General features: G+C 40.5%; 1 protein-coding gene across 51 annotated transcripts in view, besides 1 other annotated feature; it reads left to right on the top strand.

Moving 5' to 3' along the window:
- ANKS1B (ankyrin repeat and sterile alpha motif domain containing 1B) overlaps positions 1-25,590 on the top strand; it is a 1,250,151-nt gene that overhangs the window by 1,026,972 nt on the left and 197,589 nt on the right. Inside the window, exon 18 of one of the 51 annotated variants that reach the window (XM_047429164.1) lies at positions 1,561-10,802. The exons of the other annotated variants lie outside the window; for them this stretch is intronic. Within the exon in view, the coding sequence (XP_047285120.1) occupies positions 1,561-1,584 (24 nt within the window). The 3' untranslated portion in view covers positions 1,585-10,802. Of the gene's footprint in view, positions 1-1,560; positions 10,803-25,590 lie in introns of those variants that run through there. 51 annotated transcript variants of the gene reach the window in all.
- Positions 2,440-2,734: a silencer, noted in NCBI's record as "tiled region #15444; HepG2 Repressive non-DNase unmatched - State 13:Ctcf". NCBI's record gives its function as "represses a minimal TATA promoter and a strong SV40 promoter by Sharpr-MPRA in HepG2 cells {active_cell/tissue: HepG2}" and the evidence as "EXISTENCE:reporter gene assay evidence [ECO:0000049][PMID:27701403]".

Here is a 25,590-nt window from a genome sequence, read left to right as displayed (position 1 = left end):
TTCATGTATTTTCCACCCTAAGCTGTGTGCCTACTCTCTAGGAGTTGCAACTGAGGGCAGATTAGGAAGTGTGGGCAGGTGTCTATAAAGGCAGTCACTCTGCCATCTTTCTGTACAGTGGTAGCATTAAGGGATGGCTTTAAAAGGAATCTTTAACCCACATCTTTATCAGTCCCCCACAAGCTACTATAAATCTATGTATATTAATCTAAGTGAAAATTGTAAGCTAGCTATGCAAACTTAGCTTTAAGACAAGTTTCCTAGCACCCCTACCAATCAGCTCACCACCCCTAACGCTTTACTATTTAAAAATCCTGAAGGCCGGGCATGGCAGCTCACGCCTGTAATCCCAGCACTTTGGGAGGCTCAGGCAGGTGGATCACAAGGTCAGGAGTTTGAGACCATCCTGGCCAATATGGTGAAAACCCGTCTCTACTAAAAATACAAAAATTAACTGGATGTGGTGGTGGGCACCTGTAGTCCCAGCTACTCAGAAGGCTAAGGCAGGAGCATGGCGTGAACCCAGGAGGCGGAGCTTGCAGTGAACCGAGATCACGCCACTGCACTCCAGCCTGGGCAACAGAGAGAGACTCCGTCTCAAAATAAATAAATAAATAAATAAATAAATAAATAAATAAATAAATAAATAAATATTTAAAAAAAATCCTGGAGCATCCACTGTGTGTGAATCCAATGCAATTGGGTTCACTCACTCTGCAGCAAGTTAACAATTGCTTATCCCACTTGTGGAGCCCAAGGAGCATGGGAAAAATCCAGGAAAAGGAGGCTTTTTTCCCTTTTGGGATAAAGAAGGAAATCCCATTCCTTGAGCTATGATCTTCTAGTATAAGATAAAACAATATTCTGAACTGAACCTGGAATGTATTTAGAGATATCCTCACTTCTAGAGCTATTAAGTTTTTCAATGATACCTTTTGAGGGAGGAAACATTTTTAGAAGAGAAAAGGAGATAGAGTAAAGAGCTTAATACAAGGGAATGATGTAAGCTGATTCTTAAAAGTTGAGATGGTATTCTTTAAGTAGCTGGTAGGAGAAGGAGGACATGGCAGTGAGATGGAGGGAGGAGCAGATGGTGGTAAATTCAAGGCAGGGGGTTCAGAGAGCAAAGGCATGGAAATTGAGAAAGTATACTTTCATGAGGGCAGGAACCAAGTCTGCGTACAATGCAGCATTGTATCCCCACAGCTTACTGTATGACGACTGTAAGTAAGTAGGAAGGAAGACAACCAGGTTTATTTCAGGCTTTTTCAATGTCTAGCTTTGTATCCCCCACAGCTTAGCATAGTGCTTGTAACATATGAAGCATCCTATTTATATCTGAAAATTGAATGAATAAGTTAACTAACTACAGGTAGTATAATCTGGCCAATGGATAGGAGTGACGGGGGGGATGGGGGGGATAATAAATCTAAGAGATAAGCAGGAGCCAGATCTTGATGATCCTTGCAGGCCAAACTCAAGTTTTGGGTTTTATGGACAGAAGAAAGCCTTTGGAAATGTTTTAAGCAGAAGAGTAACATGGCCACATTTACATTTTAGAAAATCACTCTGGGAGCTATGTGAAGGATCGATTGGAGACTGGGAAACCAGGTAGGAGAAGATTTACATATAATCCAGGTGAGAGACAATGAGAGCATAAATCCAAAAAAGCAGCAGTGAAGACGGAGGGGGGAGATGGGTTCTAGAGATGGTTTGGAAGTGGGGTTGGTAAGATTTGGTGACCAATTAGATATGGAGATGAGGAAATGGAAGGAATGAAGTGTGACTGCCAGCTTACATGCCTAGTGGTGCCCACTCACCACAGTCACAAAGAGGGAGACCAGGCTTGGGATAAAGAGAGTGCGTTCCATTTTAGACATGGTGTGGCTCTAGAGAACATTTAAGGGAAGATGGCCAGCACATTGTCAGATCTCTAGGCCTGGAATTCAGGCAGACCTGGGCCTTGGTCAGAAGAGTCTGATTTCCAATGTCACATCCCAAAGTGCTTCACATTATGAGGAAGTAGACAAAAAGTTGATTTATGTTTAAGGGAGTTAAACACTTGATTAAGATCCTGGTTATTCGTTCATTCCACCAATATTCAACTGCCTCCTCAATATCTCCACTTGTCTAAAAGATATGTCAAACTCAACATTGCCAAAGCTAAGTTCCTAATCTTCCCTAAAAAAGACTTCTCCACCGCAGCCTTCCCCCATCTCACTTGATGGCAGCTGCATCTTTCTAGTTGCTTAGGCCAAAAATCTTAAATGCCTGGATCCTGGATGCCTCTCTGTCTCTCATATGCCAAATTCAATCTTTCAGCAAATCCTGTTGGCTGTACTCTCGGAATATATGCAGAATGTAACTGCCTCTCACCTCTTCCACGGCTGCCTCCCTGGTCTAAGCCACCACCATCTCCTGTCTGTATTATTGCAGTGGCCTTCTAATTCGTCTTCCCACCTCCACCTTGTCCCCCTTCTGGCTTTTCTCAATATTGCAGCCAGAGAGATCCTATTGAGATGTAATATCTGACCTCATCTCTCCTGTCATTCTCCTGCAAGCTCCTTCTACTTCAAACCCAAAAGACCGTTCTTACTCTTCCCTGTTCATGCCCACCTCAGCCCTGTACCTGCTGTTCCACTCTCTGGGAAGGTCTTCCCTCAGATAGCTACATAATTTACCTCCTTCAAGTCTTTTCTTAAATTATGTTCTCAAAGGTGGTCTTCTCTGGCTTTTTATTTTAAAGTATACCTCCCCAATTCCAAGCCCTCTTCTCTAATCTTTTTCTGCAGTACTTATCGTCCTCTAAGTATAAATTCCTCTTATGATTTTGTTTATCTTTTTGCTCCACTGGAATGCAAGTTCCATAAAGAGAAGGACATTCATTTTAATGCGTGATTTATCCCCAGCATATATAATAGCACTAGAATAGAATATTCTATTCTATAGATACAATATATCAATATTTGATCTCAATCACTCAACAAACACTTAAAGGATGAAAGGCAGGAATAAAGAAATGGAGGGTGGGCAGGAGGGAGGGAGGGAGGGAAGGAACTGAAGCTCTATGTCCTGAGCATTATCGAGTATATACAAAATTATATAATATATGTCCTTGCCCCTCTTTTAGTCTGTTGACAGAATAAGACACATTTCCATGAAGAAAGTTAAGTAGCAGTATGAGTGCATGCTGGAGTCATCTATAACACTTGTAGTCTTAGAGCTTTTAAGAACCTAGGCTAGTGGAAGAATATAGTGACATCATCTGTTCTCATATTTCTCTCTGGTTAACTAATGGACAACATTGCCACAAAGCAGGCATTTCTCTACTAAGCTTAGCAAAACCTCATATGTTTTTCAGACACAAAATGCAATTGTGAAATTACATGTACCATCAAGCTACATAAACACCATTTTGTTCTACAGTCATTTACCTTAGCACTCCTATTGGTTTGCTGACCTTGTTCCATTTGCAAGGGAGGAGCCCTAATGGCTCAATCGCATCCTAAAGGCTTCACTTCTTAACAGTATCTCATTGGCAATACCTGAATTTTGAAGAGGTTACATTCAAACTATAGCAGCTCATGCTCACTTTCTAGGAGTCTTGGGAGTTTTTTCCTCCTTTAAATAGAAAAAGAAAGAGAAGGACACTAAAATCTATTTAGTAAGCACCTACTTTACCATGAAATTGTGTTTCAGAGATACTAAAGAAAAATAAAACAGGTTCGCAGATTTCAAGGATCTTGAGGAGTGCAGATAAGTACATAAGTTGGTGTTTGGATTGAGTATTATCTAAGTATCTAAATGGGACAGACAAGTGTTTCATGCATCACTTCAAGGATCATGCTAAAATGCAGATTTGAATTCAGCAGGTCTGAGGCAGAGCCCCAAGATTCATTTCTAACCATCTTCCAGGTGGTGACAATGCTGCTGCTCATTTAATGACACTTTGAGCAGCAAAGATGTAGACAACAAGGGCCAAGAACTTCAGAATATGGATTTAAATAATTAGGAATGGTCATATCAAAAAGATGAGACATGAGCTGGACCTTGAAGATGAGAAGTATCCAAAGGAGTAAACTGGAAAATAAAAGAACTAAACTGAGGACCAAAGCAAGGCCATGTAAGATGCATTCCAGGACAGTCAACAGAAGAATTGGAAAAAAAATTACCAGAGGCAAGTATTAGACTAGAAAGTTGGAAAGATCAACTGGAGTCAGCTTGTGGGAGGTTTTGTATGCCAGGTTGAAGACTATGGATTTCATCCTGTAACAAAATGAACACCAGTGAAATTTAAGGAAGAGGAAGAGAAGACCTAGATCACAATGTGGTAATGAAAATAGAAAGAAAGGAATGTGCATGAGGTGGAGGGCTCTAGAGAAAGAGGTAATCCTTGGCAAAAAAAAAAAAAAAAAAAAAAAAAAAAACCACTCTAGATTCTCAAATGGACATGATAAACATTTTGAAGGAAGTATCAATAAGACAAAGCCAATTAAAAAGCTGAAAATAACAGGCCAGGCATAGTGGCTCATTTCTGTAATTTCAGCATTTTGGGAGGCCAAGACAGGAGGATCACTTGAAGCTAGGAGTTCAAGACCAGCCTGGTCAACATAAGACCCCATTTCTACAAAAATTTAAAAATTAGGCCTAGCGCAGTGGCTCACACCTGTAGTCCCAGCACTTTGGGAGGCCAAGGTGGGTGGATCACTTGAGATCAGGAGTTCAAGACCAGCCTGGCCAACATGGTGAAACCCCATCTCTACTACAAATACAAAAATTAGTTGTGTGTGGTAGCAGGTACCTCTAATCCCAGCTACTCAGGAGGCTGAGGCAGGAGAATCGTTTGAACTCAGGAGGCAGAGGTTGCAGTGAGCCAAGATCACAGCACTGCACTCCAGCCTGGGCAACAGAGTGAGATTCTGTCTCAAAAAAAAAAAAAATAGCTGAGTGCAGAGATGTGTGCTTGTAGTCCTAGCTACTTGGGAGGCTGAGGCAGGAGGATCACTTGAGCCCCGGAGTTTGAAACTATAGTGAGCCATGATCGCACCACTTCACTCCAGCATGGGCAGTGGGATGAGAAGCTGTCTCTTAAAAAAATAAAGGAAGTTAAAGATAACAATGATTTTGAACTTGGATGACTAGGAGAATTATGGTAGAAAAATGTAGATTGAGAAAGGAGTAAGTTTGTTCAGAGAGCAGATGATGAGTTTGGATTTAGATATCTGGATTTTGAAGTGATGGCAGAATTCTAAGTGGAAACTTCTGGTAAACCACAAGAGATGTGAGGTGGAGAGCAGGCAGGGGTCATCACCATAGGCAAAGACGTTAGGTAAGTCAGCAGAGTGATGATCATTGAAACCACGAGGCAGGTATTGATCGCCGAGGGTCCTGGATACTGGAGAAGGTCACAGACAGACAGGGCTGAGGATCAGACCTACAGACGTGTCCTTATTTAGGGAACAGAGAGAGAGGAGCCTGCATGCCAAAAGGTGAAAAGAGAAAATTTCAAATACTTCATTATCTGTGATGCTTTCACTAAAACAAACTTTTTGACCCACAGGATTTGACAATGTGTAAGCACATTTGTATTCCATCCTTAGTGCAGTCAATGCTACGCTCTGCTAACGTGGCCCCAGGAGGCCAAGGTTCCAGTGCCAGTTTTGTTACCTGCCTGCTCTGTGGCCTTGAATGACCCACTTTAACCTCTCACCTCAGTGAAATCACCATCCAAAAGACGGGGGGAATACTACACTACTACAAGTCTCACAAAGATGTTATGAAAAATGAAATCATAAATAATTTTAAAGCCCACATTTTAATGAAGCCATCAGATGACTTTTCTAATTTATCAAGAGTTGAATGCAGTTTATATGCAGTTCTCGTGCAACTGCCCAACTTAGATTACCAGGAAAAAAGGCAAACAGATTTATTTTTCTGAATTAAAATAGCCCTATCTAGGTTTTTAAATACATTCACCAGATTTTATTGAGGGCTTTTTGTATGCTAGGTACTGTGACAGGCAATTGACCAGATACACAGTTAAATCAACAAAGGCCCTGTGATGAAAGGTCTTGGAATCTAATAAGAAAAAAGAGAAACACAAATCATGCATAATCAAACAAAAATCAATATGTAACAAATGCCATAAGACCCGTATGAACCAAGTACAATTGATGTTCACAGAAGAGGAAATTTCTGGCTGACGGAGAGATGGGATGAAGGCCTTGAACAAGGGTACACGGTGACAGATGGAGAGGAGAGGGAGGGCATCCCCTGTAGGCCCAGAGGGAAGAGGGCACAGACAGGGCTTGGGCAATGGCGAGGAGCACAGTTAGCTTGGAACATGGAACAATTAGGAGAGCAGCAGGAGGTAGTCAGATTGCAAAGGGCACAGATGCCAGGCTACCGAGTCAGGGCTATATTCTGTGGACAGCAGAACACCGGGAGGGCAACAAAGGACCCAGACAAGCAAAGGACTTCAACTGGAGCTGTGCTGAAGATGGTTTAGCAAAGAGATCGGCTTCTGGGAGAAAAGAGACACAATAGAATATTGGTGACGTGGATGAATTTTTTTGTTTCTCATTAAAATGGGGACAGCAGTGTTCTATGAAAACTGTCACAGGCATATTCTTCCAAAGGAAATTAATTTTAATAGAAACATAGAAGTGATCCCCTCTCTTTCCAAAGTTTCACGCTATGTCTCATAGTTAATGTAAAGTTTCAAAGTCAAAGACAAATGTACTGTCCACTAAAGCCAGGAAGACTGGCCAGGATAAAAAGCTGTGAACCAGCTCCAGGGGTCAGGGCAGAAAGGAGATAAATAGAACAGTTGGAGCAATTGTTCTAAACCCTTTGGAAACCACAGATTCCTTTGAGACTCTTCACATAGCTCATATATATGTGAAATTCTGCATGTAATTTCAGGGGGGTTGTAGATCCCCTGGGCCCTATTCATTGAGCCCCAGAAACTCAAATTAAGAATCTCCGAGCTGGAAAAGAAAAAAATAAGAGATGTTCTAGAAGTACTATTAGAAGGAACACACAGAGAGCCTGACACAGTGGCTCACATCTGTAATCCCAGCAATGCAGGAGGATTCCTTGAACCCAGGAGTTTAAGGCTGAAGTGAGCTATAATTGCACCACTGCACCGTAGCTTGGGCAAGAGAGCAACACCCTGTTTATTAAAAACAAAAACCAAAAAAGAAAGGTAGCACACAGAAACTCACAATGACAGAAGTTGGGGTCACCTACCCCAGATGTTTCCAGTGAGGCTGCTTGCAGGAATTACCTGGGGGTTATTTTCATTGGTAAAATCAGACTTTTGGGGGGCAGGACTAAAAAATCTGGATTTGTAATTAATCAAGTTCATTTTGATGAGAAATAAACTTTTGAAGCCATTAATCAGTTTCCTTAGGACTCGCAGGACAGATGGGACACTCTGCTGTTTCTTTTCTTCTTTCTTTTCTTTGAGACAGAGTCTCACTCTGTTACCCAGGCTGGAGTGCAGTGACACAATCTCAACTCACTGCAACATCCGCCTCCCAGGTTCAAGTTATTCTCCTGCCTCAGCCTCCTAAGTAGCTGGGATTACAGGCGGGCACCACCATGCCCTGCTAGTTTTTGTATTTTTGGTAGAGATGGGGTTTCACCATGTTGGCCAGGCTGGTCTCGAACTCCTGACCTCAAGTGATCTGCCCACCTTGGCCTCCCAAAGTGCTGGGATTACAGGCATGAGCCACTATACTCAACCACTTTGCTGTTTCTTATGATTGTAATAGACATCCTTCAATGCGTCATTATGTGGTTGAACCCTTGGGAGTTACTACTTGAACCTGACCTACGGTCTTAATGCATCTTCACTGACTTCTTTCACTTCATTCTTCATTCAGCATGACCATCATACCCTCTTGGAAGACAACCACTCCCTCCTTCAGCCTTTCAATTCAAACCTTTCCCACAATGCATGTAACTATAGGTTCTAGTCTCATCATCATCATCATTATAGCACCTCATTTTCATGGATTAATGCTAATCCCAGTGTTCTAGAGGCTATCTCTTGAGATTGTTGCATACTGGGTTTCCTATTGGATGCCCTCCTGCAATTCAAGGGAGACTCACTCAGAAAGCTCCGCAGATCAGAAAATCAGTAGATCCTCTTAGCTGACCCTTGACCTCCATACTATTTCCTGAGGTTGATTCTTTCACCATCTCTCTGCCTCTGCAGCAACAGCAGAAATAGCTAAAGACTAAAGAATTAACAAAAAGAAGGCAGCCATTTAATTGATGCTTCTGATGTGAAGCATTCTTGATTATTTCAGGAAGAGAGTTTTTATAGAGTCAAACCTTTATTTACCTACAGACAACCTAAGGCAGTATCCTTTTCCCACCGATCTTTCATTTTTACATTCCTTCCTCCTCCAACCCCTTCCTCAGTCAGATTGAGCCACTTTGGACCAATGAGGCTCAAAACAAGCTCAAAGAGTCAAGATTTTAAAGATCAAAAATTTAAACAAATTATCTGGCATCCTACCTCCTAGTTTTGAGCTTCCTTTTTTAACAGTTGGGCAACATTGCTTAACTAGGTCCAGTTTTGCTCAGAGCAAAAGGATGGAGGCAGCTGCATAGGCCTGAGAAAACTGCAGTTGTGAGGCCTAGTCTTCATGGTTTCCCAAGCTCTTTGGGCTTCCAACTGCCTTAAAAGTAGCTCATACCTGGCCGTGTGCGGTGGCTCGTGCCTGTAATCCCAGCACTTTGGGAGGCCAAGGCGGGCAGATCACGAGGTCAGGAGATCGAGACCGTCCTGGCTAACACAGTGAAACCCTGACTCTACTAAAAATACAAAAAATTAGCTGGGTGTGTTGGCACGTGCCTGTAGTCCCAGCTACTTGGGAGGCTGAGGCAGGAGAATCCCTTGAACCCAGGAGAGGGAGGTTGCAGTGAGCCGAGATCACGCCACTGCACTCCAGCCTGGGCGACAGAGCAAGACTCCATCTCAAAAAAAAAAAAAAAAAAAAAAAGTAGCTCATGCTCATATCTCACCCCTTTGGAAGATATCCATTATTCTGTTCCTGATTTGGTAGAAAGAGAAAGGGTGGAAAGTCAAGCAGTTCTTACTATTTGAGAGTTACTACCCGTGTGCTCTTGAGCCTGTTGCTTAATCTCCCAAAAATCCCAGCATGTGTGTGTGTGGGGGGGGGTGTGGGTGTGTGAGAGACAGAGAGAGAGAGAGAGAGAGAGAAATTGGCATAATTATTCCTACCTCATCAGATTATTGTGCATATCAATGTGGTCCATGATACAAAGCACCTAGCAGTATCTGGCTCAAAAAAAGGATTTAGTGTCGCTTCCCTTCCCATCTTGAGCTCTGTTTGGCAGGTCGTTGGTTAATCAGCATAAATTGCAAAGTGCTAGGACTTAAAAGATCCTATCTCTGAATATATATCCATACTTGCTACTCCAGAGTACAGCATAACAATAAGAATGTAAATGATCATGAGCAACTTAGTTAATCACTCAAAAGCTTCAGTTTCTTCATTCTTAAAATGATGGTTTTATGTGAATGACCTCCGAAGGTCCCCCCACTGTTTGCTTCACTGGTTTTAAACTAGAGATAAACCAGCCCTCTGAAGTTTTTACAATGCAACAAGGGTTGCTGCAGCTGTTTCTTAGGTTATAATCATAGAAAATAGCCCAGTAATTCAGAAAGACAAGAAAGTATTTAAGAATAAATGGCAGGAGTCCTAACAATTACAATCAGGTAGAAAGATACAGAGAAGACAGATAATGTTAAATTACAACTGAAATGCAGGTGGCAATTACAGCAACAAAAGTAATACCAGCACAAGAGGCTAACAGCAGGTTCTGCGTTATACAACAAAATGTCCTTTCCAAGGGTTTTTTTTTTAATAATTGCACTTCTGCTAGATTTGTAATTACAAACATGAATAATCCTCAGCATATATCATTTCTAAAGATAGAGGCTGTAATTCTGTTCCTGATGAAGAGCTGAAGAATATCTCACACCGGTTGGTAAGTGACAGTCAGTAACTACCAGACAATTAGGATGATGCATCAGGAAAATTGGAGTCAAAATATCCCATGTACAGATGCTGAGTCCATCAACAAAGGAGGGATATCGTCATCACATCTAGCAGCAGAAGACACAGGAAAACCACATCACAACAAGGATAAAGGGCAATGGCGTTGCTGCAGAGGACAGAACGGTCATCACTTCGGTCCTACCTGAGTTAACTCTCAAAGACTATGGAAAATAACTTTATTCTTAAAAGGCAGCCAAGGAAAATATTTTAAGTAGGGGGATGTGATTAATGGAACATGTAGAGCCCTCAATATCAAATTACTGGTTTGCGTGTGAACCCTGTGTTTGGGTTGGACTTCTCCATGGTATGTAACATTCATGAGTTGTAAATAGCTGATAATCAAGTCAGGTAAATTTGAGAGTTAATGATTTAGGTTGCTTTCAGCTGGAGTCATCCTTGACTCCTTGCTTTTCTCCCACATTCCCCTATACTCAGGAAATCCTGTTGGCTCTGCCTTCAGAACATATCCAGAATCCAAACCACTGCTCACCACCTTCATCACTACAACCCTGGACCACTGCTGCAGCATCTCCAGCCTGGCATGGGACTGTGGCCTTCTAAGTCAGCTCCCTGCACCTTCCTTTACTGCTCCAAAATCCTTTCCCAACACAGTAGCTAGAGTGATCTTTTTCACTCTACTCAAAAGCCTTCTGTGGTTCCCCATTTGAATCAGAGTCAAAGCCAAACAAAATGCTTCTGCACTGGGCTAAAAGACCCACAGGGCTCCCTGTTAACCCCTGCCCTCCCTCACTTCACTCCCACCACTCCTTTCTCCTCTCACATTCCCAAGCAAGCTTCCAACTTAGGGAATTTGTGTTGGCAGTATCCTCTGCCTAGAAAACTCTTCTCCAAATATCCACAAATGCTCATTCACTCAAAAGTCTACTCAAAACACACTTTTTTTTTTTTTTTTTTTTTTTTTTTTGAGAAAAGATCTTGCTTTGTCACCCAGGCTGGAGTGCAGTGGCTCAATCATAGCTCACTGCCGTCTCGAACTCCTGGGCTCAAGTGGTCCTCCTGCCTCAGCCTCCTGAGTAGCTAGGACTACAGGTGTGTGCCACCATGCCTGTACTTTCTTTTTTGCTTTTTTCAGTAGAGATAAGGTATCGCTATGTTTCCCAGGCTGGTCTTGAACTCCTAGGCTCAAGCAATCCTCCTGCCTCAGCCTCCCAAAGTGCTGGGATTCCAAGTGTGAGCCAAATCACATTTTTCAATGAGGTGAAACCTGACCACCCTATTTAAAATTAGTCAGCTGCTCTCATCTTTCCCCCAATAGCTCCTGTCACTCTCTAGTTCTTTATCTTGTTCTTGTTGAGTTTCCTGATTTATTAGATTTATTATTTGCTTTTTAAACTCTTCCTACTGGAAGGCAGGAACCCTTTTTGTTCTTTTAATCCACATTGCTTAAAGCAGTGCCTGTACACAGCAGACAGTTGTAATTATTTGTTGAATGAATGAGGAAATATAACAAAAAACTCCAACTCAAACAGGATTAAACAAACAAAAGAATAATGCATATATTCCTGCATAACTGGAGAGGTGAGTGCAGGGATAGGGAAGGAGCTCCACCTCCCTGTGATTCTTCTAGGACAGTTACTTCATCAGATCTATAATAAGATGCCTGCAGAAGTTCTAGAATCAGTTTGGGATGGGGAAAGATGACTCTTTGAGACTTTCACTTAAGGATGAGGACGCTTTACCTAGAAGCCCCAAAAAACTTCTGCTAGCATCGAATCAACCCAAACTGAACCAGTCTTGGTTGCCAGGGGAATGACATGCAACAAGTTGCCTCACTGGGAATAGGGATGGAAAAACCACAATTGGCTTGACTACAAGATCGACCTCAACCACGTGGTCATTTCTCAAAAGGGGATGGAGAAGGTGGATGGAGAGGAGGCAAACCCAGTGTCCATGCCTCAACCTTAGCCAGACAGACAAAGAGAGGGACTAGGGGAAAAGATTTGTTCAAGAAGCTGTAAAACTGAAAATTCTGGAAGCATCTCCATTGATTTTGCCGATGGTGAAGTGCTGAATTCAGTAGCACATGAGCTTTATGATTTATTGGCCTTGCTTGAGAGTATTGGAAGTGTTGATGTGGATTGCACAAACGCCCAGCTTGAGTGTGGCAGTCTCACACCATCCCTGCTGATCCATATTCACGCAGTAAATATATTGAGGAATGAATGCAAAACAAATTTGTTATTGATTCTGGTTTCACTCAAAACCAAATATAACAAATGTTTCAGACTCAGGAGTTTGTAAATGGGGAAAAGGTAGCTGGAATATGAAATGCTGCTAGTTCTGTTACTTATTTCCTCTCTCTCTCTCCCTTTTTTTTTTTTTTTTTTTTTTTTTTTTTGTTTGTTTGTTGAGACAGGGTCTGGCTCTGCTGCCCAGGCTGGTGTGCATTGACACAATCTCAGCTCACTGCAAACTCCACCTTCCGGGCTCAGGCAATCCTTCTACCTCAGCCTCCCAAGTAGCTGGGGCAACAGGTGCACACCACTACGCCCGCCTAATTTTTGTATTTTTGTAGAGATGGGGTTTCACCATGTTGCCGAGGCTGGTCTCGAACTCCTGAGCTCAAGTGATCTGCCCATCTCGATCTCCCAAAGTACTGGGATTATAGGCAGAAGCCAACATGCTGGGCCCTTCTGTTACTTTTTATTTGTTTAATGCATGATACAGGGTTGGATGGGGACATATGGGACATGAAATCTGGAATCTGATATTTCTCATTCTGCTGTGTTTTGCCTTCTACATAAATATACAGAAAAGCTTATCACCCCTGTGGATCTCCAGTCACTGATCAATCCTCCTGCTATCTCTGTGCTGTTAAAAAAGCAGTGGGGGATAGGAGAGCCTTGTCTAATCAAATTAGAAAGATAAACAAAATTTCTGAAAGAAGAATGATTAAGAAGAAAAGGGTTTAGACATAATTTATATGCACAACTGCAAGGCAAACAGTAAGCAGATTATAACAGGATCCCATCTATTCATACTGTGAGCGGGACTTCATGGAGATAACTCATGAGCAGTTAGATTCCTACACATAAACTCCCACACAACTGATACTGTGGAGATGTTTCTCTTAAATCCGCATAGCAAGAGAAGTATTTGACTTTTTTATCTCCAAGAGTATTTCATTCCATGGTTTGAGTGTTTGCATCTTAGGATATTTTTCTTTTTTTCAGGGGCAGTGAGGGGACAGACAGTAGACAGTTGGGATAGGGACATGATATTTTGAATCCTGATAAATATAAATGACTATATTTCCTAGTTTGTATGCATATATAATAGTGTGTACATTTATTTTGGTAGGCAGAGCAATTGCCCCTGTGTTCTTCCATTTGCATTGCTCTAAAGGAATGCCTGAGGCTGAGTAACTTATTAAGAAAAGAGATTTATTTTGGCTTATGGTTCTAAAGCTATACAGGAAGCATGGCGCCAGCATCTGCTTCTGGTGAGGGCCTCAGGAAGCTTTCAATCATGGCAGAAGGTGAAAAGGAGCCAGCGTGTCATGTGGCAAGAGAGATGCTAGGCTTTTTTTTTTTTTTTTTTTGTGAGGTGGAGTTTCGCTCTTGTCACCCAGGCTGGAGTGCAATGGTGTGATCTCAGCTCACTGCAACCTCTGCCTCCCGGGTTCAAGCGATTCTCCTGCCTCAGCCTCCCCAGTAGCTGGGATTACAGGCACGTGCCCCCACACCCAGCTAGTTTTTGTATTTGTAGTAGAGATGGAGTTTCACCATGTTGGCCAGGCTGGTCTCAAATTCCTGACCTCAGTTGTTCCAACCGCCTCGGCCTCCCAGAGTGCTGGAATTACAGGCATGAGCCACCGTGCCCAGCCCAGGCTCTTTTAAACAACCCCCATTTGTGTGAACTAATAGACTGAGAACTCATTCATCACCAAGGGGATGGCGCTAAGCCATTCACGAGGGATCCACCCCAATAACCCAACACCTCCCAGGAGGTCCTACCTGCAACGCTGGAGATTACATTTCAACATGAGATTTGGAGTAGTCAAACATCCAAACTATATCAACTCCCAAAGATGTCTACATCCCACTCCCCAGAATTTGTGAATATATTAGGGTAGACGGCAAAGGTGGGTTAAAGTTGCAGATGGAATTAAGGTTGCCAAACGGTTGGCCTTAAAATAAGATTTTTTATTCTGGATTATTTTGCTGGGCTTAATCACACAAAGGTCTTTGAAAGTGGAAGGGGGAATGAAAAGAGGGAACCAGAGAGATGGTAGCATGGGAAGAACTCAGCCTGATGGTCTTGAAGATGGAGGAAGGTGGGCACAAGACAATGAAAGCAGCCCCCCTTCTACAGATGAAACATGCAAGGAAATGGACTCTCTCCTAGAGCCTCCAGAAGAGAATGTACCCTGCCAACACCTTAATCTTTGTCCAGTAAGATCTGGGCAAATATCTGATAAATAGAACTATAAGATAATAAATTTACAATGTTTTAAGCCATTAGGTTTGCAGCAATTTGTTATAAAGGCCATAGAAAGTTAATACAGTTATCATTTTAAAGCATCATACATTGCAAATACAAAGGTACTGAAATAGCCTTGAGTTTGGAACATCCTCAGATGCTTAAGGAAGTAGATTAAAGGCTGAACAAGATCCAGTCCAATCCACCTTATCAAACAGGAGCACATTTCAGGAATTGAGCTCTGCTATCTGTGTTTATGGACACTTCAAGAAATAGCAGTGTACTACCCAGTAATCACAAGCCCAAAGATGGTTGAACAGGGTGTACAATCGTAAGAAGATAAAGGAAACAGGAATTGTATTTGCCTTTCACACGTAGGCAGATTCTTATTTCTATCTCTTTTTGCCTGAGTATATGAAATCTTGTCTATTTTTTAAGACTGAAATTTTCTCATTTGAACTCCTCACTATTCTTGTATTTGGTGTTGTTTCCGACACTGAGCTTCGTATTTAAAGAGGACGATTCTGACAGGAGGCACTGTCTGTTGGGGTGTTTGAATTTTCTCATTTGAACTCTTCAATATTCTTTTTTGAGGTTTGGCGTTGTTTCTGACACCGACTTATATTTAAAGAGGACGATTCTCACAGGAGTCGCTATCAGTTGGGGTGTTTGATGCATAATCATTCCGTTATATATTGAACAAATATTTACTTCACCCTCACTGCGTGCAAAGCAATGTGTCAGGCAATGTAATTCAATAGTGAGCAAGCTACATTCAGCCCTTGCCCTCATAGAGCTTAAAGTCTAGTTGGGAACACAGACATATACAGGTAATGACAACACAGTGTGGGGAGTGCTAGAACAGAGAAGGACATTCTGCTGAGGGGAACCTAACCTAGACTTGGCAGGAGGTGGAGGATGAGTAGCTGAAGCGAGGGATTTCCGGAGAAAGCCATCCCCTTTGCACTGCCTTTGTCAAGTGGCTGACCTCTGCTTGCAGAGATAGGTCTTGTTCATGCTTATGTCTCTTTCTCCTGTTCAGCTTGAAGCCCTGGCTCAAAAAGTCAGCCTGTTCCTGACTACAGAATGATACTTTGGCCATTCACAAAAGTCATATAAGAGAGAATTCAAAATATCTTTCTTTTTTTCTTCCCCCTCCCCCCGCTCCCCCACCTCCCACCAAGACAGGGTCTCACTCTGTCACCCAGGCTGGAGTACAGTGGCGCGATCTCAGCTCACTGCAACCTCTGCCTCCTGGGTTCAAGTGATTCTCCTGTCTCAGCCTTCCGAGTAGCTGGGATTACAGGCACATACCACCATGCCCGGCTAATTTTTGTATTTTTGATAGAGGTGAGGTTTCACCATGTTGGCCAGGCTAGTCTCAAACTCTTGACCTTGCAATCTACCCGCCTCAGCCTCCCAAAGTTCTGGGATTACAGGCGTGAGCCACTGTGCCCGGCTCAAAATATATTTCAAAGTTATGGCTCAATATGTTTTTGAAACTACTCTACTGACAGTTTTGGCTGTTTACGTTTAAACTTACTGTGCCACAGCTGGCCAAAGAAATTTTTGCTACCCTTTCTCTATATATATTCTGCCCATCACATTTTGCCATTTCCTAATAAAAGAAAAATAATATTTATTTTCCTACTTATACAATAATACAAGTTAATTTTAGAAATTTGAGGAATTAAAGAAAAGGATACATCTTTAAATGTTTATGTCACCATAGTCCCGCTACCACGAGGGGCAGATTTGCCCTGAGATTTTTTTTGTTTTAAGGACATACAGTCAATCTTCATTAGTCACAGATTTTGTATTTGCAAATTCCCCTACTTGCTAAAATTGAATTGTAACCGCAAATCAATACTCACAGTGCATTTCAGTTATTTGTGGGCATGCACATGCTCAGAGCAGCAAAAAGGTTGAGTTGGCTGATGCATACATGCCCAGGCGAAGTCAAACAAGGTGATGCCTCTCCTTCTTGTTTCAGCTCTCATACTGTAAACAAGTATCTTTTCTAAGATCTACTTAGTGCTATATTTTTCATATTTATATGCTTTTTGTTAGTGGTCTTGTGGTTTAAAATCGCCTGCAGCATGGAGCTGAAGCACTGTCTGGTGTCCAAAGCATAGCAAGACTGTGATGTGTCTTGAGAAAATACGTGTGTTATTAGATAAGCTTCTTTCAGGCATAAGTGACAGTGCTGTTGGTCATGATTTCAATGTTAAGTAATCAATAATATATATTAAAAGAAGGTGTCTTTAAACAGAAACACATATAAAACAAGGTTATAAATTGATCAGTTGACAAAAATATTGTGACCAGAGGCTTGCAGGAGCCTAACTCTGTATTTCCCCTAGGTGCAATCATTCAGTATTTGCAATTCAGTGTTTGTAGTGACCTTATAGAATATAACTACCATGAATAGTAAGAATTCTCTGTATTTTCTTTATGTCAAAAAAAGAAAAAGGAATCATACCATATGTCAATTTTTGTGTCCCTACTTTTTTCTCTTAACCTTACATTCTGAGAATTTTTCAATGTTAGTAAATATTTTTTGAGATATGCCTTTCAATGACATATTCAAACAAATGGATCTCCATGATTTGTTTCCCTCTTGCTAGACTCTAGGTTATTTCCAAAGAACATTCTTATACATATGTTCTTGTGTATCTCATTGATTCATTTGTTGCCTCACTCACTCATTCAACAAATATTTATTTAGCACTTTGTCTCAGGCCTCCTGCATAAGAATACAAAAATAAATAGTACAGACACCAATCTCTGCTCTCATGAAGCTTATCATCCACTGACACAGATAATAAATATTTACACAAGTAATTCATGGTAATAATAATAAGTGCTGGTAGAGACAAGCACAGGAAGCTACAAAAAGCCCGTGGAAGGCCTGACCTTGATCAGGGAAGGGTTCTGAAGTAACAGTTTCAGCTGAGCCCTGAAAGAATTCAGGACTGAAATGCACTAGATGCCTAGGTTAGAGATAGAAGAAAGGAGTTTTCTTCTCTCTTCCTCTCTCCCTCTGCACCCCCCTCCTCACAGCACAGGCCAAATAGTGCATCAGTAGGCTGTGCCTTTCGTGTGCCTGTGACCCAAGGTCAGGCTCCCATCTGGCTGCCTGCACACAAGCCACTACTGCCCTTTGCTCCCCTCTTGCCCCCGCCACATAGAGAGCAAAGACATGGAGGAGAAAGAGGTGGTTAGGAGAGGCTCAGGGACACCTGCCTGGAGTGGGTCCTGCCAGTGGACCCCATGGGACCCAACTGACAGAAGAGAGGAGTGAGATGTAACTGCAGGCCCGTTCACAGTGGGGCCTGAACTCAGCTGCAGTGTTTGCTTTATCACTGGCTGTGGCCACCACAAATACCTGTCAAAACTCCCTCCCTGTGCCCTTTTCCCCAGTAGAACAGCTCTCTTCTCACTCTCAAAATCATCTCTCACCCTTGTTTGAAAGACCAAATTCAGAGGACAAATGGGTATTTAGGGGCATCAGTGTGCCATGTGAGAAAAAGTCAGTAGTACTGAAGTCAAGAACCAATTAAAACATTTGTTGGCCTCTTTCCACATCTTAGGGGCAGCGTTCCTTTTACAGGTCCAGGTGTCCACTTTGCCTGGGAATCTTTGAAGCCATTTTCTTTAAAAGTGTTCCTCCAAGAAATATGTACACAGCAAGAACTTGTGACAATTTGAACACCAGGGAATTAGAATGTGCAAAGCTTAAATTATTGGGGGGAATATCAACCTGAAGTCTATCAACCAGAATTTAAAAGAAGTGCAGTTTGTACTTTCTAAAACATTAGCACTAAATCTAACTGCTAACTAGCCATTGCCACTAGAGGTCCTGCCTGCCCGACTTCAAGGAAAAAAGAAGCCTCAACTAGTCCCTGAGTGGTGTGATTTGTAACACATGGCACTTAAGTGCTTGGAAATATTTATTCTCTTAAAAAAATTAACCGCAATGGCCAATGGCACATTATGCATCTGCTTAGCAAATTCTTTCTTAGCACAAAAGGAACTTCAGCCAATTTATAGGCTAAACTTTTATCAATTCCAGAGCAGCAATGCCCAAATTAGTATGCAGTGCAAATAGGTAATTTCTATCAAGAAGGCTTTGATATCCATGATGCAAATTAACAATGCTTATGTACCAGCTATATTCACTCTGATTCTCTAGAAAATCCAATGTTGACAACATACGCACTAATCCTAATAAGGTTTCTCAAAAACATCTTCATAGAAACTTGTAATTCCATACACTTTAGGATAACATTAGCTGATGCTCACTCACAGTTTTCACCCTGAGATGCAGTTCGAGTCTAATTTGGCACCTTACTCAGCTATCTGTAACAGTCTCAAGGTGAAAAAGAGAGGGAGGAAAAAAGGTGTTAGTTGCAAAATCAGGATCTGACTTAATAAACTTTTGCCTTTTTGTTATCCTGTATGTTATCTTGTTAAAACTCAACATGACTTATTATCATTAATCTCCACTGCCTTCTCACCAAGGCCTTTTCCATTTCATTGCAAATGGTAAGCACATTTTCACGTTGCCCAACCCCCATAGTTGATGGGTGACTTCCCAATTTCATCCTCTGCTCAGCCTTTGTCAATGTCTTCAGCCATTCCTTCCAAGAAACTGTTCTGGTTTCTGCAATGTGATCTATTCTTAGCCCATGCTGGCGAGTCTTAAGCTCTCAAGTTTTCATCGAAGTGACTTAGTAGTCTGGTCTCAATAAATAACTGCAATTTGTGTGTGTGTGTCTTCCCCCAAGGACACATCTTAACCTTACAAAGACAGAAGCTTTCACAACTGCAGTTGCATTTTCAGGAAGAGCACTCTGCCTTAGGTTTTCCCAAGCACCTTTCTTTTCCTATCCATGACATTTGAAACAATGGTTCTCAGCCCTGCCTGCACATGAAAATCATCTGGGGAGCTTTTAAAAACCACAGATGCCTGACCCATATCCCATACCAATTGAATCAAAACCCCTATGAGCAGAGCCTGGGCACTGATATTTTTGAAAGCTCCCGGGGTTGAAAACCAGTGTCTACAGGTGTCAATTAGGATTGTTTTGCTCACGTCACTTGATTAAGATTTTTAATAAAGATATTCCACTGAAACCTATGAGAATTTAACGTAGGTTAATAATAATAACTATTAACATTTGCCTGGAGATTTTAACATGCTATAGTACTCTCAGAGCTTATTTGCTATTTGCATAGCTAATCAATATTTATGAAATACATACCAGGGACCATTTTAGGTTCTAAAACAAAAAAGATTTAAGAAGCCATGGCAGTTGCCCTTAATATGGTTTGGCTCTGTGTCCCCACCCAAATATCATCTCGAATTGTAATCCCCACATGTCAAGGGAAGAACCTGGTAAGAGGTGATTGGATCATGGGGGCAGTTTCCCCCATGCTGCTCTAGTGATCGTGAGGGAGTTCTCACAAGATCTGATGGTTTAAAATTGCCAGTTTCCCCTGCACTCTCTCTCTCTCTCTCTCCTGCTGCCATGTAAGATGTGCCTTGCTTCTGCTTCACCTTCCACTGTGATTGTACATTTCCTGAGGCCTCCCCAGCCATTTGGAACTTTGAGTCAATTAAACCTCTTTTCTTCATAAATTGCCCAGTTTCAGATAGTATCTTTATAGCAGTGTAGAGTAATACAGAGATCTACAGACTAGTAAATGAAATCAAACAAGCACACTTCCACACAGCTTATAGGTGGCATGTGTACAGTACAGTGGAAGCCCAAGGAAGGAGTGATCTGGCATACCTGAGAGGTTCAGGAAAGGGCTTATTCAGGAGATAACTCCTTTGCTGAGTCTTGAGAAATTAGTCTTTCAAGTGGAAGGTGGGAGGCTGAGAGAGGTTTCAGGAGTCTCTGGCAAAAAGAGTAGTATAAGCAAAGACAGTGAAGCTACAAAACATACTAGTATGTTCAGTTCATTAAGTAGAAGGAGAAGCAATGGGGGAGGAAATGAAGCTGGAGGGTCCCCAGAGGACATAAATGCCATACTAAAGAATTTGGACTTTATCCTGGAGGCCACCAGGCCCTCGACATTTTTATCACCTACCCCTATTAATTAAAAAAAAAGCACATATCTCCAATATATGTTTGTGTGTTTATGGTTTTCATAAATGTAATGCTATGTCCATACATTATAAAACATATGCTAAAAACGTAAATTTTAAAAGAACAAATTTTAAAGCACCTATAAGTGTTCCTTGATGTCATCCTCCTCTACCCGAATGAACCATCCTGCTCATCCCTGGAGTATGCATTCTCCACTTTGAGACAACTACAGATAGGGAGAGTTGGAAAAGTGAGTTAATCTACTCTTCACAGAACTCCCATGAGGTAGATAGAGCAAATAGTAAGAAAACTAAGACCTAAAGATACAGAGTAACTCACTGGGTCACACAGGGACTTAAAGCAGGGGAAGGACTAAGATCACTACTAAGGCCACGGCCAGCATTCCACCTACCATCCCACATCATCTCCACTGAGTTATACTCCTTATCACAATTCCCTGTGAAGTCAGAAGTACTTAGACAAGATAAAATTTTGTGTTCAATTATGTAATCCTTACCTGAACATGAGAGAAATTCTGAGAAAATGACTATAAAACATTACTGGGATTAAATTGACTTAAGACCACTGTATTGAGATCTAGTAGGGGAGATATTTATTTGAAACAAGTGAAGAATAGAATAGCCTTAGTTAACAGAGAGCTATTATGTACACACAAGAATTAATTGTTCTTTTTTTTTTTAACAGAGTCTCACTCTGTCACCAGGCTGGAGTGCAGTGGTGCGATCTCGGCTCACTGCAACCTCCACCTCCTGGGTTCAAGTGATTCTCCTGCCTCAGCCTCCTGAGTAGCTGGGATTACAGGCAACTGCCACCACGCCCGGCTAATTTTTGTATTTTTAGTAGAGACGAGGTTTCAACATGTTGGCCAGGATGGTCTCAACCTCTTGACCTCATGATCCGCCCACCTCAGCCTCCCAAAGTGCTGGGATTACAGGCATGAGCCACCATGCCCAGCCAAATTGTTCATTTTTAAAGAAGGTGGTATGGCAGTATGGAGACAGCATTGGCTTTGGAGTCAGGGGACCTGGGTTTGAATTCTAACATTGCCACAGAATATGCTTTCCATGAACTTTAGCAATTTACTGAAGCATACTCATCAGTGAAGTGGGGTTAGATAATTTTTACTCCCTAAGACTGGTATGAGTACTAAATAAACTCTCAATAGATGTTCTTTACTCTCCCTTTCCTAAACAATAAAATACCATAAATTGTGCTAACCACTAAAATCGAACTGAACATTGCATATAATTTCATCATTCTTGCATCATGCAGAAGGCATTTTAGGAAATTTTATTAAATTATTATTATAAACGAAAGAAATTCTTGCTTCTTGCTGGAAAAGGTGTTGACTAAACTAACTTTTTTATACACAATAATAGCTACCATTTATTTAAGGCCACCTAAGTGCCTGGGGTTTTGTTTGTTAGTATACATATATTTCACTAAATTTTCACAACTCGATTTGTAGCAAGTATTACTATGCTAATTCTGTAAATGAAGTTAATTGGTAGAGACCCACAAATAGAATCCAGTACTTTTTGTCCAAAGTCTCCTCTCTTAATTATTACATTAGGTTAAAGGGTATGAATCTAAAACTTCATTCACAAACTTTCACAGAACACTAGCTTCTTGAGATATAAATATTCATTCAAGAGGCAAGACTGTCTATCATAAAAACCTCCTAACAAAGAAAATCCCAGGACCAAATTACTTCACTGGTGAGTTCTACCAAACATTTAAAGAAGAATTAATGTCGATCTTTCTCAAACTCTTCCAAAAACTTGAAGAGGGAAGAATACTTCCAAATTTATTTTATGAGACCAGCATTATGCTGATACCAAAGCCAGATAAAGACAGTACAAAAGAAGAGAAAACTGCAGCCAATATCCCTGATATGCATAGATGCAGAAATCTTCAACAAAATACTAGAAAGCTGAATCTAAAAGCACATTAAAAGGATCATACACCATAACCAAGTGGGATTTATCTGTAGAATTCAAGGATGGCTCAACATATGAAAACCAATTAGCACCACATTAACAGAATAAAAGATAAAAATCATATGATCATCTCAATAGATGCTGAAAAATCAATTGACAAAATTCAACATCCTTTGATGATAAAAACTCTCAACAAACTAGAAACAGAAAGAAATTACTTCAACATATTATAATTAAGGTGATATGTGGTTAGCCCACAGCCAACCTCATACTCAATGATGAAAAACTGAAAGCTTTTTCTCTAAGATTAGAGTCAAGGCAAGAATGCCTACTCTTGCCACTTCTATTCAACATAATACTGGGAGTCCTAGCCAGAGCAGTCAGGCAAGGAAAAAAGGTGCCCAAATTGAAAGGGAAGAAGTGAAATTGTCCACATTGTTTGCAGATGACATGATCTTATATATTTGAAAATTCTAAAGACTCCATTTAAAAAAAAAACTGTTAGAACTAAAAAATGAATTCAGTAAAGTTGGTATATATTGATATATACCAAATCAATATATAAAAATTACTTGCATTTCTATACACTAACAATGAACTATCTGAAAAAAGAAATTAGGAAAAAAATTCTATTTACAATAGCACCAAAAAAATAAAATATCTAGAAATAAACTCAACTAAGAAGTTGAAAGCAGACTGAAAACTACAAAATATAGTAAAAAGAAATAAAACAAGAAACAAACAAATGAAAAGATATCAAATGTTCATGGATTGGAAGATCTAATATTATTGAAATGTTCATACTTCTCAAAGCAATCTACAGATTAAATGCAATTCCTATCAAAGTTCCAATGGCATTTTTTTACATAAATAGACAAAATGCTAAAATTCTTAGCCAAGTCAATCTTGAGAAAGAAGAAAAAAGCTGGAGGCCTCACACGTCCTATTTCAATATATATCACAAAGCCACAGTAATCAAAATAGTATGATACTGGCATAAAAACAGACATATAGGCTAATGGAGTAGAATAAAGAGCCCAGAAATAAATCCATGCATACATGGTCAACTGGTCATCACAAACGGTGCCAAGAATACACAATGGGAAAGGATAGTCTCTTCAACTAATGATATTGAGAAGACTGGACGTGACATACAAAGCAATGAAACTGGACCTTATGGCATACACAAAATATCAATTCAATATTATTATTTTACATTTAAAGATCTGAAACTGTAAACCTGCTAGAAGAAAACATACATGAAAAACCACTTGACAGTCGTCTTGGCCATGATTTCATGGGTATGACACAAAAGGCACAGGGAACAAAAACAAAAATAAGTAGGACTACATCAAAATAAAAAGTTCATGCACAACAAAAGAAACAGTCAACTGAGTGAAAAGGCAACTTACTGAATGGGACAAAATATTTGCAAACCATATATCAGATACGAGGTTATTCTCCAACCTATACAAGGAATTCCTACTACTCAATAGTAAAAAAGAAAAAAAAACCTAGTAACATGATTTTTTTTAATGGGCTAAGGACTTGAATAGACATTTCTCCAAAGAGGACATGCAAATGACAACAGGTATATGAGAAAATACTTAACATCACTAATCATCAGGGAAATGCAAGTCAAAAGCACTATGAGAGCTCACCTCACACCTGTCTGGATGAGTATTATTTTTTTAAAAAGACACCAAATGTCAAGAATGTGGAGAAATTGAGACCGCTCCACACTGTTGGTGGGAACGTAAAATGGTATAGCTGCTATGAAAAGCAGTATAGATGTTTCTTAAAAAAAACAAACATATGTCTACCACATGATCCAGCAATCTACTTCTGGGTATGTATCCCCCACCAAAATTGAAATCAGGATCTAAAGAGGTATTAGCACTCTTATATTCACAGCAGCACTATTCACTACAGCCAAGACATAGAAACAACCTAAATATCCATCAACAAATGGATAAAGAAAATGTGGTGTATGCATACACAGTTGCATACAATGGAATACTATTCAGTCTTTAAAAAGAAGGAAACTCTGCAATATGTGACAACACAGATGAACCTTGAGGACATTATGCTAAGTGAAGTAAGTTAGTCGCAGAAATTCAAATACTACATAATGCTACTTGTGTAAGGCATCTGAAATTGTCAAACTCATAGAATCAAAGAGTGCAATTGTGGTTTCCAGGGCTAGGGAGAGTTACTAATTGGGGAGTTACTAAATGGGGAGTTACTAATCAACAGCCATAAAGTTTCAGTCAACCAAGATAAATATGCTCTAGAGGTCTACTGTGCCACATTGTCCTTACAGTCAACAATAATGTACACTTAAAAATGGTTTACAGAGGTAGATCGCATGTTAAGTGCTATTAACACAATAGAATGGAATTTTTAAAAAGTCAAATAGTTCAGGTGTTTATACAAATAATTTTTAAATAAAAACTAACTTTAAGGAGATTGGCAGTAAATAAAATAATCACACACACACAGAAAGTCAGCCTACCAGAGCTGCATTAAGAGGTTCAAAAAAGCACATTGGTATTAAAGATTCTGTGAAACCCTGAAGGAGAAAAAAATCAATTTATTCTTATTTAATGCAAGTTTCAAATTTATTTGACCATGTAGACCTTTCTGGTTCCAGGAATATATATTAACATCACACAGGAACAAGTATGTAATAACAATTAGTTTAGCAATGAAGAAACCATGAGACTGCTTCCATTTGATGTTATTTGGTATTATCAAAAACCCAAAGACAGATGAAATACTATTTTTCTAACCCTTTGTAAGATTTAGTAGGTACAGAACAGGGAGGATTATATTGTTCTTGTCTACAGCAGCAATTCCACACAGATAAGCTTTTGGTCTTCGCCGCTTGCCACTCCTCAGATTTGTTCCCTTCCACAAACACAAAACTTGTTTTGCAAAGACAAAACCAAAGGTATTATTAAGTATTCTGAGCATCCTGGAATTAAA

Source organism: Homo sapiens, chromosome 12, assembly GCF_000001405.40.
Source record: "Homo sapiens chromosome 12, GRCh38.p14 Primary Assembly".
In the NCBI taxonomy this organism is placed as follows: Eukaryota; Metazoa; Chordata; class Mammalia; order Primates; family Hominidae; genus Homo; species Homo sapiens.
Note: the sequence above shows the minus strand (reverse complement) of the source record. Positions and strands in the feature narration are given on the sequence as shown.